The sequence below is a fragment of the Homo sapiens genome, chromosome 4, assembly GCF_000001405.40.
Source record: "Homo sapiens chromosome 4, GRCh38.p14 Primary Assembly".
NCBI lineage: Eukaryota > Metazoa > Chordata > Mammalia > Primates > Hominidae > Homo > Homo sapiens.
This window is the reverse complement of record NC_000004.12, coordinates 53,037,898-53,051,733: the sequence shown is the minus strand read 5'-3', so window position 1 is coordinate 53,051,733 and position 13,836 is coordinate 53,037,898. Positions and strand designations below refer to the sequence as shown.

Below are 13,836 nucleotides of genomic sequence, written 5' to 3'. Positions count from 1 at the left end.
TAACTTCCAATGAGTGACAGCATTGCTAGTGCAGTTAGCGCCACTTTATATCCAGATGGAGAAACAAGTTAGTGAAATAAGCAGTCGTATTAACCAATGTAATTAAATCTAGCCACCGTAATAAAAATTGCAAATTATAAAGTGGCTTTACCTAATAAAATTTAATTTTCTCACTCAAGCCAAGCATAGCATGGTTCAAGCAGCCCACTTAACCAACAGGTAACTCAGGGGCTTGGGTTGCTTCCCCTAGGTGGCTCCACACCTTGGGCTCTTCAACTTCTGACCATACTGCTGGGGAAAAGAGTGGTATAGAAGATTGGAGAGGCTCCGTTGCTGGTCCTGGAAGGGGCTCATTTCACTTCTGCATACAGGCCAGAACTGCATACACTTCTGCATACAGTTGCATGCCCCCAGAACCTGGCTGAAAGGGAGGCTGACCGATGTCTCCCAGAGTACCAAGAAGAAGAAAATTTAAGGGATCAGAGTCTAACCAGTCTGCCATAGTGATAGAAGATGTTCTCAAACCTTTGTTGCTTTTTGTAAATTATATTTATTCATTATTGTGTTCAATACATCTTCATAAATGCCTACACTGTGCCAGGCACTAGGAATACAGTGAGGAACAAATTAGATGTGGTCTCTGCCCTCATGGAACTTGCAATTTAGCCAGGAGATGGACAGAAATAAAACAATCACACAGTGTTAATTATGAAATTGTAATAAAGGCTATGAAGGAAAATAACCTGATGTTTTGAGAGAGCGCCTACCAGGAGATCTGACCTAATCAAGATGTGTCCAGGGAAGGTCTCCCTAAGCTTCCACCTGACAGACGACAGGAAATGGGGAGACAGAAGATGTGAGCAGCTTTAGAGGAAGCAAGAAGGGGCACTGGGAGTTGGAGGAATGCAGGCAGCATGGCTGAAGCCCAAAGAGAAGAGAGGCAGGAGCCAGATGACCCAGGGCCTGGAGGGCCATCGAAATAAAACATTTGAGGTAACAAAGCAGTGAGAAGCCATGAAAGGGTTTTCAGCCTATGAGTAACTTGATCATATCTGTGTTTTATAAAACACTGACCTCAATGTGGAGAATGGGTTGGAATGAGGCCAGAGATGGTGTCGGCAATCAGGTGCATTATCTGCCTGGCTTTTTCCTGGTTTTTGTTCTTTCTTCATAGCCTCCCACCACTGTGTGCAAAACTCTCCAGCTTCAAGGGGATGGCTGTAATTTTCAGTTCCAGACATAGAGATGTTATCTGTTTTATTGAACTAGAATAATCTAATCCAATTCTGAGCTTTGTCATCTTGAAGTATTCCTCATGGCCTCCTCTACAACCTATCTTGATTCGTTTAATCACGACAGCTATTTAGCCAGACTGTTGCTGGTGAGGTTTGCTGCCACTTAATCTGGAGCTGTTAGAAAGCAGTGCTCATGACTGCCTTTTGTGCCATTTTGAAAATGTCTAATCAACACCTCATTTGTCCACCATTATTGGGGGAATAAGATATCCTGGTAAGATCTTGCTTCTCTTAAGTACTTAAAGGTGTTTTTAAGACTTCTTTTTATTTGCTGATCTCAAAAGTGGCCACAGAAACAACATTAAACATAGAATTTTAGAGAAAGAAATTCCTTACCTCCATTATATGACTACCTTTGCATGTGACATTCGAGTGTTTGCGGACTCATGTACACATATCAAAATATTTTCTATTGTGTTTTATTTTTTCCTGTTTAACATCTATAGCCTGTAACAGGAGTAAATAAACATTTGCTGAATGCTGAATCTATGAATGAATACATGCCAATCAAAGAATTTTTTAAAATACTGAAAACCCAAAAGAAGGAAATTAAAATGACCTCAAATAAAACAAAAACATCAACAAAATGACCTATAACCCCTCCACTGAGAGAGAGCATTTTGTCTGTGCATTTTATCTAATTTTCTGACATAAGGTAGTCATTATCATTATCAGAAATTTTTTAAAGAGATAGACTCAGATTAGGCAGCTTGGTGCAGGAGGCTGAACCAGGCAAGATTCATGATTCCAGCTGATGCATGCCTTCCATTCACTATGCCCTGCTGCCTTTCTGCTCACTCTTTAACATTATTCTGTCATTTGGGAACAAAACAAGGAGGAGACGATAGCTAATGGCAGTGAAACATGGTGGTTTAGAGCACCAGAAACCCAGACTGCCTGGGTTTGAATCCTACTTCGGCTATGTAAGCTTGCACAAGTGATTTAACCTCTGTAGACTGACCCTCAGGTCTGTTGTGACGACTAAATAAGTTAATATAGGTTATGAAGAGTGCATAGCACAGTGAATAGCACATGGTATGCACTATACCACTGTTTGTTGTTACTGTGATTGTTACTATTAGTACCAATAATCTACACTCAGGTCACTAAACATTCCTCTTCACCATCCTCTTGCATTAAGGTTATGAGTGTGCCAGACAGAGTTCCATGTCACAAGACTTCTAATGGCAAGGCTGGGCAGACATTCTTGGTATCATATCTTGTGTTCTTCCTAGTGAATTCCAGACTCACAAAGATTAAAATTTGTTTCCAGCAAGAAAATGTCCTTTCCACATGGAATTAACCGTGTGAAGTCTCTTGTGTTAAACTGAACTGGGTTGAAAGAAGGTACGCCATTCTGTTGTGCTTATTCTTTGGGACACGTTTTCCAATTCTCACACACTGTTCATCTGATTTACTCCACAAGCTGAAAAAGATTCCTAAGATTAATGTTTTGATGCTTTATTTTTATTATTTATTTATTTATTTATTTGAGACTAGGTCTCGCTCAGTCACCCAGGCTGGAGTGTAGTGGTGTGTGGGAGTCCAGGGAAGGCCTCCCTAAGCTTCCACCTGACAGATGACAGGAAATGGGGAGGCAGAGGATGTGAGCAGCTTTAGAGGAAGCAAGAAGGGGCACTGGGAGTTGGAGGAATGCAGGCAGCATGGCTGAAGCCCAATGAGAAGAGAGGCAGGAGCCAGATGACCCAGGGCCTGGAGGGCCATCGAAATAAAACATTTGAGATACACAGCTCCCTGCAGCCCTGACCTTTCAGGCTCGAGCGATCTGTCCACTTCAACCTACTTAGTAGCTGGGACCACAGATATGCACCACCACCCATGGCTAATTTTTTATTTTTATTTTCTGTAGAGACAGGGTCTCCCTATGTTTCCTAGGCTGTTCTCAAACTCCTGGGCTCAAGGGATCTTCCTGCCTCAGCCTCCCAAAATGCTGGGATTACAGGCATGAGCCACTACACCTAGTATCTTCATTTTTTCAGGTCAAGACAATACTGCAAAGGTTAAAGTGACTCTCTAAGTTTTAGAGTATGTCTGTGTGTATGTATGTATGTACTTATTTATTCATTTTGAGACAGAGTCTTGCTCTGTCACCTAGGCTGGGGTGCAGTGGCACGATCTCGGTTCACTACATTCTCTGCCTCCAGGTTCAAGTGGTTCTCATGCCTCAGCCTCCCAAGTAGCTGGGACTACAGGCACACACCACCACACTGAGCTAATTTTCGTATTTTTAGTAGAGACAGGATTTCGCCATGTTGACTAGGCTGGTCTTGAACTCCTGACCTCAGGTGACCCACCCACTTCGGCCTCCTAAAGTGCTGGGATTACAGGTCTGAGCAACTGCGCGTAGCCTAGAATATTTAATTAAAAGATTTTTCAAGCTACCTTGCTGGTGATGCTGCTGGGTCTTGTGCACTGGGTAAGTGAATGCCTGGGCCACATTTAGCAGTCACCAGACAGTACACACATTCCCTCACATGTGACCAGTCAGGGCAGAAGGGCTGTCAGGTCGAAGAGCTGTCACATTTTCAGAAGAATTAGACACCCCTGCAAAATATTATCAGTTCAAGTCCAGAAGGTTACCTACTGGAGATGCCCATTTCTGAGACAGTTTAAACCTCATTTCTCTAAGGAAAACAAACTAGCAAAGCACACCTTGGAGTTTGGGGGAAGAAATAAATATGCCATTCCTGGCTTTCTTTGGATAGAAACAACCTAAATGGAACCACAGAGCCAAAAATTGGAAAAGAGTAAAGTCATTCTGAATTTTAAAATCGTAAGACGGTGTAACATGCATGTCAGTCACCTGATAGAAGTGTATGTGTGTACATGTGTGTGCATTAGTGTGCGTGGTACAGGTGAGAGGAAGATATCATGAGGAACAGATAGTTAAGGAGTCAAGAAGACACAACCTGCAAAGAAAATACTTGGAAGATAATTGTGGGGCTTTTTGTTTGTTTGTTTTTTGTTTTAGAGACAGGGTCTCACTCTGTTGTCCAGGCTGGAGTGCAGTGGTGTGATCATGGCTCACTGCCACCTCGACCTCATGCACTCAAGTGATCCTCCCACCTCAGCCTCTCAAGTAGCTGGGGACTACGGCACATGCCACTAAGCCTGCCTAATTTTTTAATTTTTTGTAGAGTCTGGGTCTCACTATGTTGCCCAAGCTGGTTTTGAACTCCTGGCTTCAAGCAGTCCTCCTGCCTCAGCCTCTCAAAGTGCTGGGATTATAGGTTATCAGCCACTGTGCTCAGTGAGAATTGGGATTTCACACTTTTGAGAATGGCAGGGGAGCAGGAACTTTGTGTTTTTTAAATCTATGATCTTTAAGTTATAGAACAATTTTTGGAATATAGTAGGCATTCAGTAAATATTTATTACTGAAATATGAAAAGAAGTCAAAACTTGGGAAAATAATTACTACACACATCACAAAAACACATAGCTTTGGTCGGGCACAGTGGCTCCCTCCTGTAATCCCAGCACTTTGGGAGACCAATGCAGGTGGATCACCTGAGGTCAGGAGTTTGAGACCACGCTGGCCAATATGGCAAAACCCCGTCTCTACTAAAAATACAAAAGAAAATTAGCTGGATGTGGTGGCGCGTGCCTGTAATCCCAGCTACTTGGGAGGCTGAGGCAGGAGAATTGCTTGAACCTGGGAGGTGGAAGTTGCAGTGAGCCGAGATCATGCCATTGCACTCCAGCCTGGGCGACAGAGCAAGGCTCTGTCTCAAAGAAAAAAACAACAACAAAAACACGTAGCTTTGTTGAAGTGGGAGTGTCAGGTACCATTGAACCAGAACTTTCTACTTACTTTTGCAACATTTTCCAGAGCATATCTTACTTTATGATTTTCTGGATATCACAAAAAAAAAAAATCTGTGCTCTTTAAAAAATGGTATAGGTCAGGCGCAGTGGCTCACACCTGTAATTCCAACACTTTGGGAGGCCAAGGCAGATAGATTGCTTGTGCTCAGGAGTTTGAGACTAGCCTGGGCAACATAATGAGAACCTGTCTCTACAAAAAAGTACAGAAATTAGCTGAGTGTGGTGGCACGCACCTGTAGTCCCAGCTACCTGGGGGGCTGAAAGGGGAGGATTGCTTGAAGATCAAGGCTGCAGTGAGCCGTGTTCACACCACTGCACTGTAGCCTGAGTGACAGAATGAGACCACATCTCTAAAAAAATAAAAATAAAATTTAAAATATTCATTTTAATTTATGCCACTGCTGACTCCATCCTCATAGGTACTGAATATTTGTTTTGAAAAGATTTTTTAGTATGGATATTTCAACCTCATGGTAGAAGAGAAATGAAAACTAAGCTGAAAATATTAGAGAGCTGCATTCTGGGCCCACTTCTGCACCTTCATAGCTGTGTGTAGCCTCTGGATAGTTAAGTGACCTCTGATCTTTAGTTTCCCCATCTTTAAGATGGGATGGTTAGCAAACTGATCTCTTTCCAGCTCTACAAAGCTATAGATTTTTTTTTTCATTTCACAAATAGTAAACATTTATATTTTAAGAAGTTAGATTATAACTATGAGATAATTAGCGTATGAAGAACATTTTATGGCATGTTAAAATTTTTCTTAGTTGACAGGATCTTAAGTTGAGATAGCCACAGACTATTTTCTATTTTCCAAAATATGTAAATAATTGGTAGATTAATTCATTCAGTCATCAAATAAGCATTTTTGAACACCCACTCTATCTATCTATCTATGCCAAGAGTTATTGCTAAGCACACACACAAAATCCCTTATTTGGCAGAATATAAGATATACTCAGATATGTAAGATGCAATCTAATTTTATAAGGAAATTTTGAGAGAAATTAAAAATTTAAGTATGTTTTATTATACAGAGGATAAGAAAAGCTATTTTTATTTATAAATTTATTTGTATAGTATACGAAATAATAAGTTCTGGATATATAGTAGTATTCAAACCTTTAAAAATTAAGCTTTTAAAGCTAAATTACATATCCAAAAAGAAATACATTGGCCGTAGAATACTAGAACCCAGCAGGCAATAAAACACAAATTGCATTTACAAATTAAGTGCCCATACCATACTTATGGGGTTAGAAAAGCAAATACCAGTACTATATTTTGTTGAATACTAATAACTAAAAATCCACACTATAAAACAAATAATAAATGAATTCCAGTAGAGTGTATGCAATCAAAAGCAACAATATTAGTAAAACCTCGTACAAAGGAAACAGTAAAATCCTATAAATGTACGTGAATTCTCTTCCAGGTAACCTGAATATTTGTGAAACTCACCTCTTTGCTGTGATGTATTGGGGATCACACTTTGTCATCAGGGCAATATTGCTATTCTCCTACTATTGTCCATTGAATGCAGATGGCAGATTTGTTAGTTGAATTTTCTATTGCAGTAGCATTGCTTATTTTAAGAATATTTTTAGTAGCTACTAAGTGACTATAAGTTACCACGGCTCACCCCAGACTCAAAGCAAGTTTTTTGTGGGCGGGGGGGGGGGGTTGGGGGTGGAGGTGGGAATTGGGGTGGGGAGTTAAGTGGATACAGTTTATGTGCAGACAAAAAGGAAAAAAAAAAAACAGAAATACTCTTGCCTCCTAATTGACTCACTATGTAAAGATGGAGACAGATTATGTGTCTGCTTCCTACACTGCCAATAATCTTAGGACAGAGCTATATGATTTTTTTTAAAGGCTTGGCAAGGAATTACAGGGTTGGGGTGGAGAGAGGAATTCCCCTTTGAAGGAGGAGGAGGAGGAAAAAGGAAAAAAGGAGGGAGGGAGGGAAGAAGGGAGGGAGGAAGGAAGGAGAAAGAGAAGGGGAATGGGAAGGGGAAAGGGAAAGGAATCCTGTAAAGTATATAGAAGGAGAAAGGGAGAGAGGGAGGGAGGAAGGAAGGAAGGAAGGAAGGAAGGAAGTTCCTGTAAAGTATGTGGAACCCCAAAAAGTGTCTGTTGATTTGGTTCTCCAGAAACCAGGTGCTGAGACAGAGTTCGAAGTGCAAGAGCTTTATGGTAGGTGGGAGGACGAGATAAAGGCTTTGAAAAATAAAAGGGGGAGGGAGCAGGATTGCAGTTTGAGCAGGGAAAGCCTTGGGCTGTGATGTAAATCTGACAACTGTGAAAGGACAGTGGGGGAAGCAGGGTTGGGGAGGTAGAGCCTCAGACTCTGATGCAGGTCTGACAAGTGTACCAACCCCAGGGGGAATTGGGGATTAAAGATTGACTATTAGAGAAGACTTCATTAGGAGGAAATGGCCAGGTCCTAGTGCCCTCACCATCTTCTGTTATTGGCTGGTACTGACCAGGAGGACTGTGGCCCCATCTCAAAAGCTAAGGAGGATGCCAATGGGGTGACAGCTGGCAGCTGTCTACTAATTGCACTCCTTGCAGCTCAAAGGCAAGTTCTTTCTTGAAAGAGTTTGAACAGTGAACTCCGGGGCTACCACAGCGTCTAACATTAACTGTGACATGTTTTACTATTGAAACACAGGAAGCAAATAATCAGTGTATCAATGTCAAAAAATAAGAGAGATTTCATATTTTGAAAATATACTTTGGGAAATATATTATTTTTTAAAGGTTTGTAAGTGTTTATTTTAAAAGAATATTTTTTAAAAGTTCATTTTTTAAATATTTAAATAATACCGAAGTACCCAAATATTCTCCATTTCCAGTTACCACTTGAAAAATCTGGTGTGTATCCTCACAAAGTCTTTTCTTGTAGTACATAAAAAGTGGAACGATATTAAAAGTAATACTGTTTTGCAAGTTGCTTTTTTTATTCAACAAGATAGGATTTTTAGCACACTTCAACACCTTCCACTGCTCTGACCCTCGTGTTTTGTTACAATTATCTAGAAATTTTGTTCCAGATAATTATTATTTTTTCACTTTATATTTCTTCAATTTAACTAATCTTTGTTGACAAATGCATGGATTTCACAGCAACATGGTCACCAATTATTTAAAATTAAGCATGGCTGATTTCTTTTCTCAGCACTATTTTTTATATGTCAAGTCTCCCTAATTTATTTACATTTGTTAGTTGACAGCTAAGATCTCCAGCCTAATCAGATGCTTTAATTTTGCTGCCATCTGTTTTCTTCCTCCTTTTGGCTCAATGCCATCCCTTTTCTTTCACTTGTCACTGACGTGGGCTTCATCAGATTCCCCACAGTGCCTTTCCTGGTTCCATCTGATTTGCTATTGCCTTCAGCATTGTGAAGCTGAGCTTTATTGAGATGTTTTCCTAACCTCCTTCCCTCTCACCCCTGCCTCTCTTAATAGAAAGCCACTCAATTAATACATAATATAATCGGATTTTATTGGTAGCTGAACCCACTGCCGTGGTCAGAAATGGCGAGGTGGTATTTATTTTTAGAAGTAGTGTCTGTGGCCCTGTTGTTTTTCTAACTTATAAAGTTTCACGTGCTTTCTGGTTTCCCTTTTCCAAAAAACAGAATAAGTAGAGTAAGTCCTAATACCTCCGGCTGTGAAGATTCAGCCCAACCTTGCCCCAAGACAAACCAGGGATAGCATTTAGATGACAATCCATAGTCCCAAGGAGAAACTACAGGAGGCTGCTCCAAGAAAGGTGGTCAGCTCCAGGGGATTCTGAGGCTCCGTTTTGTTACTTCACTTGGAAATCTAATGTGTGTAAGTGGAGGACATTAGGATAAAATGGCTGAATTCGCTGAAAAAAACAAAAAAAATAGGTTGGGGAAGAAAAGGAGGAAACTAATATGTAGAGATTTTGTTTTCGAGAATATTTTATCTTATACCAGATCCTCCATGTACATTTTCCAGATGTGTCACAAGAAAATGTATATTTTATTTATTTGTGTATTGTAATATTTAGATCCAGCCTTAAAGTTCCAATTTCCAGGAAGTCCAGTACATATTTCCTTTTTCTCTACTGGACTGAGAAAGGCAAAGAACATGGTGTGTTGAACCATGCTAAATTATACCACAGGGAAGGGACACCTTTGCTCAGCCTTAGCTGATTGCGTCCCTGTGGGAATGAAGGCCCAGTGTTCTTGGATCTTTTGATGATATATATATATATATACACACACACACATTTTTTAGAAGAAGCTTTATACTACTTACATAGAAATAAATGTCTATAATAGCAGATGGTTGAAAACAGTGAAATGATTTTACGCATTTCCGGATTTGGATTGAGGAATAGATAGCAAATCCACCACCGTGGTGTATAGAGAATGAGAGAAAACCCTGTTGCAGTCTCCAATGAGACCAGCTTTGTAAACCACATTAGAGTTGTTGATTACTAAAGGGCCCAGAAGTCAGCAGAAGCATTTTACAGCTCTGCTGAGAGAAGTGTATGTGTCCCTTTGTTAGACCCATGAGACCAGGTCCTGGCTCTTAGGTATATTTGAGATATGTTTTATTCTTTTGACATAGCTTATTTGTCCCTCAGCTTGTCTTAACAAAGTGGAACATTTATGCTCCATGCTGTCACTACTGAAAAGAGGATGAATATAAAAATAAGGAAACTCTTGAGGGTAGCAAATGATGGAAGAAGTGGATACACTCTGGGAAACAGAGCTATGCTATGGAATGCCTGAAAAGAATAAAACTCAAGTATTTTAACACCAACAACAAGTAATTATATTACCACTGAAATAGTGAAGCATGGTTTTTGAAGCAGTAATGTGTGAATTTCCTAAGGGCTACATCAAACCATCCTTAAACCACATGTACAAGGTGAACACTTCCATTTTCAAAGGCATTTTGAAGAAACAATGTGGATCATTCTTTCTCTCATCCTTTCTCTCATCCTTACCCAGTACTTTTACAAAACTAAATTTTTACCCTTCCCAAAAGCTGGTAACTGGAGTGCACAGTTAATCACTTAGTTACTCTCATTGGACATCTCATCTCCTGATTTAAATGCTGTTTTACTGTGTGCAAGTATGGTAAACAGGTAAATGTAATGTTGATTTATTTTGAATAGAATGGTAGTTAGAGGAACTTAGCTCCACAGAAACCCTTTAAATCTACCAAGTTATGTGCAGTGATTGTAAATCTCTGTTAAGTGTAAAACATACCTTATGAATTCACCAGGTTTACCAACACCTCTGTTCCATCACCATCAGTGAAACTGTATCAAGCATCCATAACACTGTAGGAGGCACCATAAGATACTGCAGCACTATCAGTTCTAGAAACAAACGTCTGCCATTGGGGATCCCACAGATGGTTGCATAAACCCTTTTAATTAGCATATTATTGACCCAATAATAGCTTTTCTGAGAGATATGTTTTATATTCCAGTCTGCCCATATGGCACGGATATGCTGCTTAAGGATCACATAATAAAAGTCTTTATGAAAATATGCATAGCATATGTCTAGTATCAGATTTATAGACTGAATAGTTCCTGTGGTTTTCTTTTTCTTTTTCTTTCACCAAATAAGGGAAATGAATAAACTTCTCAAACCTAGGCAATTATTTAAGTTCAACAGAGGTTTTATCTCATTCATGAAAGATTTTCTATCAACAGGTTTAAAATCTTTTAACCTTTGTTTTCAAAATTAGTTATCATTTTCACTCTTGATAAAGGTCTTTCACAAATTTTTCAGTAAGGCATGAACCATCAAAAAAGTACAGTTCTTATCGACAATGCTGGAAGTTCTATAATGAACCCACTACTAAAAGGCAATGAGTAAGAAGCATGCATTGGAAGAACTTAATGTGGTTGGAGTTTGCAGAAAAGATAGGAAACCCAAAGAACAGAGATATTTATAGTTGCATAATTCAGGGCATTCCTCGGAAATTTTTAGACAAATAGAGCAAAGCAAAGTATCTACATTAAACATGGCTAGGTACTTTCCATTTTACAGACTAGCAAGCTTCCATGAGAAGCATATGGAATCTCACATTGTTTCATTTTTATTGCATTGTAGGACATTAAATTTTGATTCAAATGAACCCCATCTTATGAAATTGAGGTATGGTTGGAGAAAAAAAATCAAATTCCAATGTGGATTATTTATAAATAAAGATCCTTCTTCAGATGACTCATGTAAGTTCATTCATTCATAAATACTTTGTTAATTTTAGAAAATTGACATTTGAGTCAAGCTCACCTCCCTCTCTCATATTGAGTTACATGCTGCGGTAGTTACATGGTCTCAGATAAAGATATATTGCTTCATTTGATAACATTAACTCAGCAAAGAGCAACAGCACTCTAAACAAAAACAGGAGGTCTGAGGGAGAATTCAACTCAAAAAGAAGTTTATAAGTAGGATTTCAGAACATACTCACCCACTGCATTTGTGCTATGCCATAGTACTATGCTCAATGCTGATGGAGGTGATTTGTTAATAGCATGAAGCCACTGCCCTCTAACAGCCGTGTTGGGAAGATAAGCACAAATGGATCATGTAATTACCAGTTCAAGACAGAAGGAGTGTAAGTGTCAAATAAGTGATTCCAAAGATAAAACTGGACAAGGTTCAGAGCAGAAGAGATGAATGAAGTCAGCATAGAGGCAGGGGCAGAGCAATGGCTCTAGCAACCGTCTTAGGAGAGAATCCTGTTTTCACCACTTCATAACAACAACATGGTCTTACGTCACAATGTCACTGAGCTCCAACTTCCTTATTTGTAAAATGGAATCAGAATGTGGTCTTTACAAGTTATTATGATGATGAAAAAAGATAATGTATGAAAAGTGCATGATATACAGGAGGCACCCTTACCTGGTAGCTATACTAAGGCTACTGTGATCTATCGGGGCAGGAGTGGAGCAGCCAATCCTCTTGCAAAAGATATGCCTAAACTCAGGCCCAGTGAGAAATTTGGTTAGGGCCTGGCACTTAAAGGCAGGAATTGGTGAGAAGATTGGCCCAATAGAAATTTGTCTTTAAAGTGTGTTAGAGAATTTTAAAGTATATTGTAGTCAGATTACAGAGGGCCTTGAATACCAGGAAGAGAAGTTCAGGCTACATTCTATGGGCAGCTGGGAGTCACTGGAAGATTTTGAGCAAGAAAGTCACCTAATGAAATTGGTATTTTAAGGCTTATTCTGATAGACCTGATAATTGGACATGCAAACTGGATTGGAAATAAGAGAGTAGAGAACAAAGGATGAGAAAGAAAAAAATGAACATTTATTGAACACATATGGTATGTATATGTTTTAGACCGTGGCCTGAGAGCCAAACTCTGATCCCAAATGGGGTTCCCATAAAGGAAGACTGAATCTCTTTTTCTCTTTGATGAAATGGAAAGTGAAAGCCCAGAAGAGCTTTTCAGAATTCTGAAGGCACTAGACTAGAGTAGCCAAACTGCTACCTGGAAAGGGAATATATAGTGCTGGTAGATGGAAAGCTCAGAATTCAAATCCTGTTTAAGGAAATATTTTTGTCGGTATTAAAATACTTTAGGCTAGGCATGGTGACTCACGCCTATAATTCTAACACTTCGAGAGACTGAGGCAGGAGGATCACTTGAGCCAAAAGTTCAAGACTAGCCTGGGCAGCAAAGTGAGATCCACCATCTCTGAAAGAAAAAAAATAATTAGCTGGGCATTGTGGTACATGACTATAGTCCCAGCTACTCAGGAGGCGAAGGTGGGAGGATTGCTTGAGCCCAGGAGATTGAGGCTGCAGTGAGATGTGATCACACCACTGTATTCCACTATGAATGCAGAGCAACACCCTGTCTAAAAAAAAAAAAAACAAAAAACTTTAAATGTCTTCTTTTTTCTGTTAACAACCTGGCATTTTATTTTCCATGTTCTTTCTCCCTATCGTTTTATACTTAGAGTAAAATTCATAATGGACAAGGCTCAGAGGCTTCAGATGTCAGGCATGATTTGTTCATGAAACTCTCCATGCAAGTCTGTTTTAATTAAAAGCAAACTGTTTTACAATGAAAACTGTTTAAAACAAACTCTTCTGTGAACATTTGAACATCTGTAAGGAAATATAAAGGAGCCCAATTATCAATCTGAAGAGTTGTATCCAAGACAATCCAGTTGTCTTTACAATTGAGGGTGGGCCAAAGAAAGGTGATTTCATTTTGGCAGATTTCCTGCTTCATGGAACCCTCCTCAGACTCATGAAAGGATTTGCCAACTCCAGGAGGCTGGAGTTCTATTGGATTCCAGTAAATGCCAGTAAAGAGCTCAGTAAATCAGAAAACATGACTTCTTCTAGACTTGTATTCGTTTTTCTTTTCAGAATTATCTTTCTAACATGCTGTTCTTATTAAGGAAAATTCTGGGAGCATGTGGTATTCCAAGAGTCACTTTGTGTTACCAATTATTATTCAAAAAGTATTACACTTACAGCCTAACATTGGCCAACCCTCTTAGAAGGATCCAGAGCACCACTAATTTTCTTTTCACTGAATGCAGACTTAATAAAAATTTTCATATTCTGGCTTGCAATGAAGTGTCATGTTCCAAGCAGATATCCAAGATCTATATTCCCCAGGGTTTGGTTGAACTGTGACATTATGTTCATTTTTGGAT

General features: G+C 39.4%; 1 protein-coding gene and 1 long non-coding RNA gene across 6 annotated transcripts in view; one reads left to right on the top strand and one right to left on the bottom strand.

Moving 5' to 3' along the window:
• SCFD2 (sec1 family domain containing 2) overlaps positions 1-13,836 on the top strand; it is a 493,080-nt gene that overhangs the window by 314,328 nt on the left and 164,916 nt on the right. The window contains exon 6 of one of the 5 annotated variants that reach the window (XM_011534376.4): positions 11,258-11,371. The exons of the other annotated variants lie outside the window; for them this stretch is intronic. Within the exon in view, the coding sequence (XP_011532678.1) occupies positions 11,258-11,265 (8 nt within the window). The 3' untranslated portion in view covers positions 11,266-11,371. Of the gene's footprint in view, positions 1-11,257; positions 11,372-13,836 lie in introns of those variants that run through there. 5 annotated transcript variants of the gene reach the window in all.
• On the bottom strand, positions 2,636-13,119 carry LOC124900701 (uncharacterized). The gene is made up of 3 exons (XR_007058116.1): positions 11,622-13,119; positions 3,699-3,860; positions 2,636-2,721 (listed from the first exon to the last, which is right to left on the bottom strand). It is a non-coding gene; the product is annotated as an uncharacterized LOC124900701 (long non-coding RNA).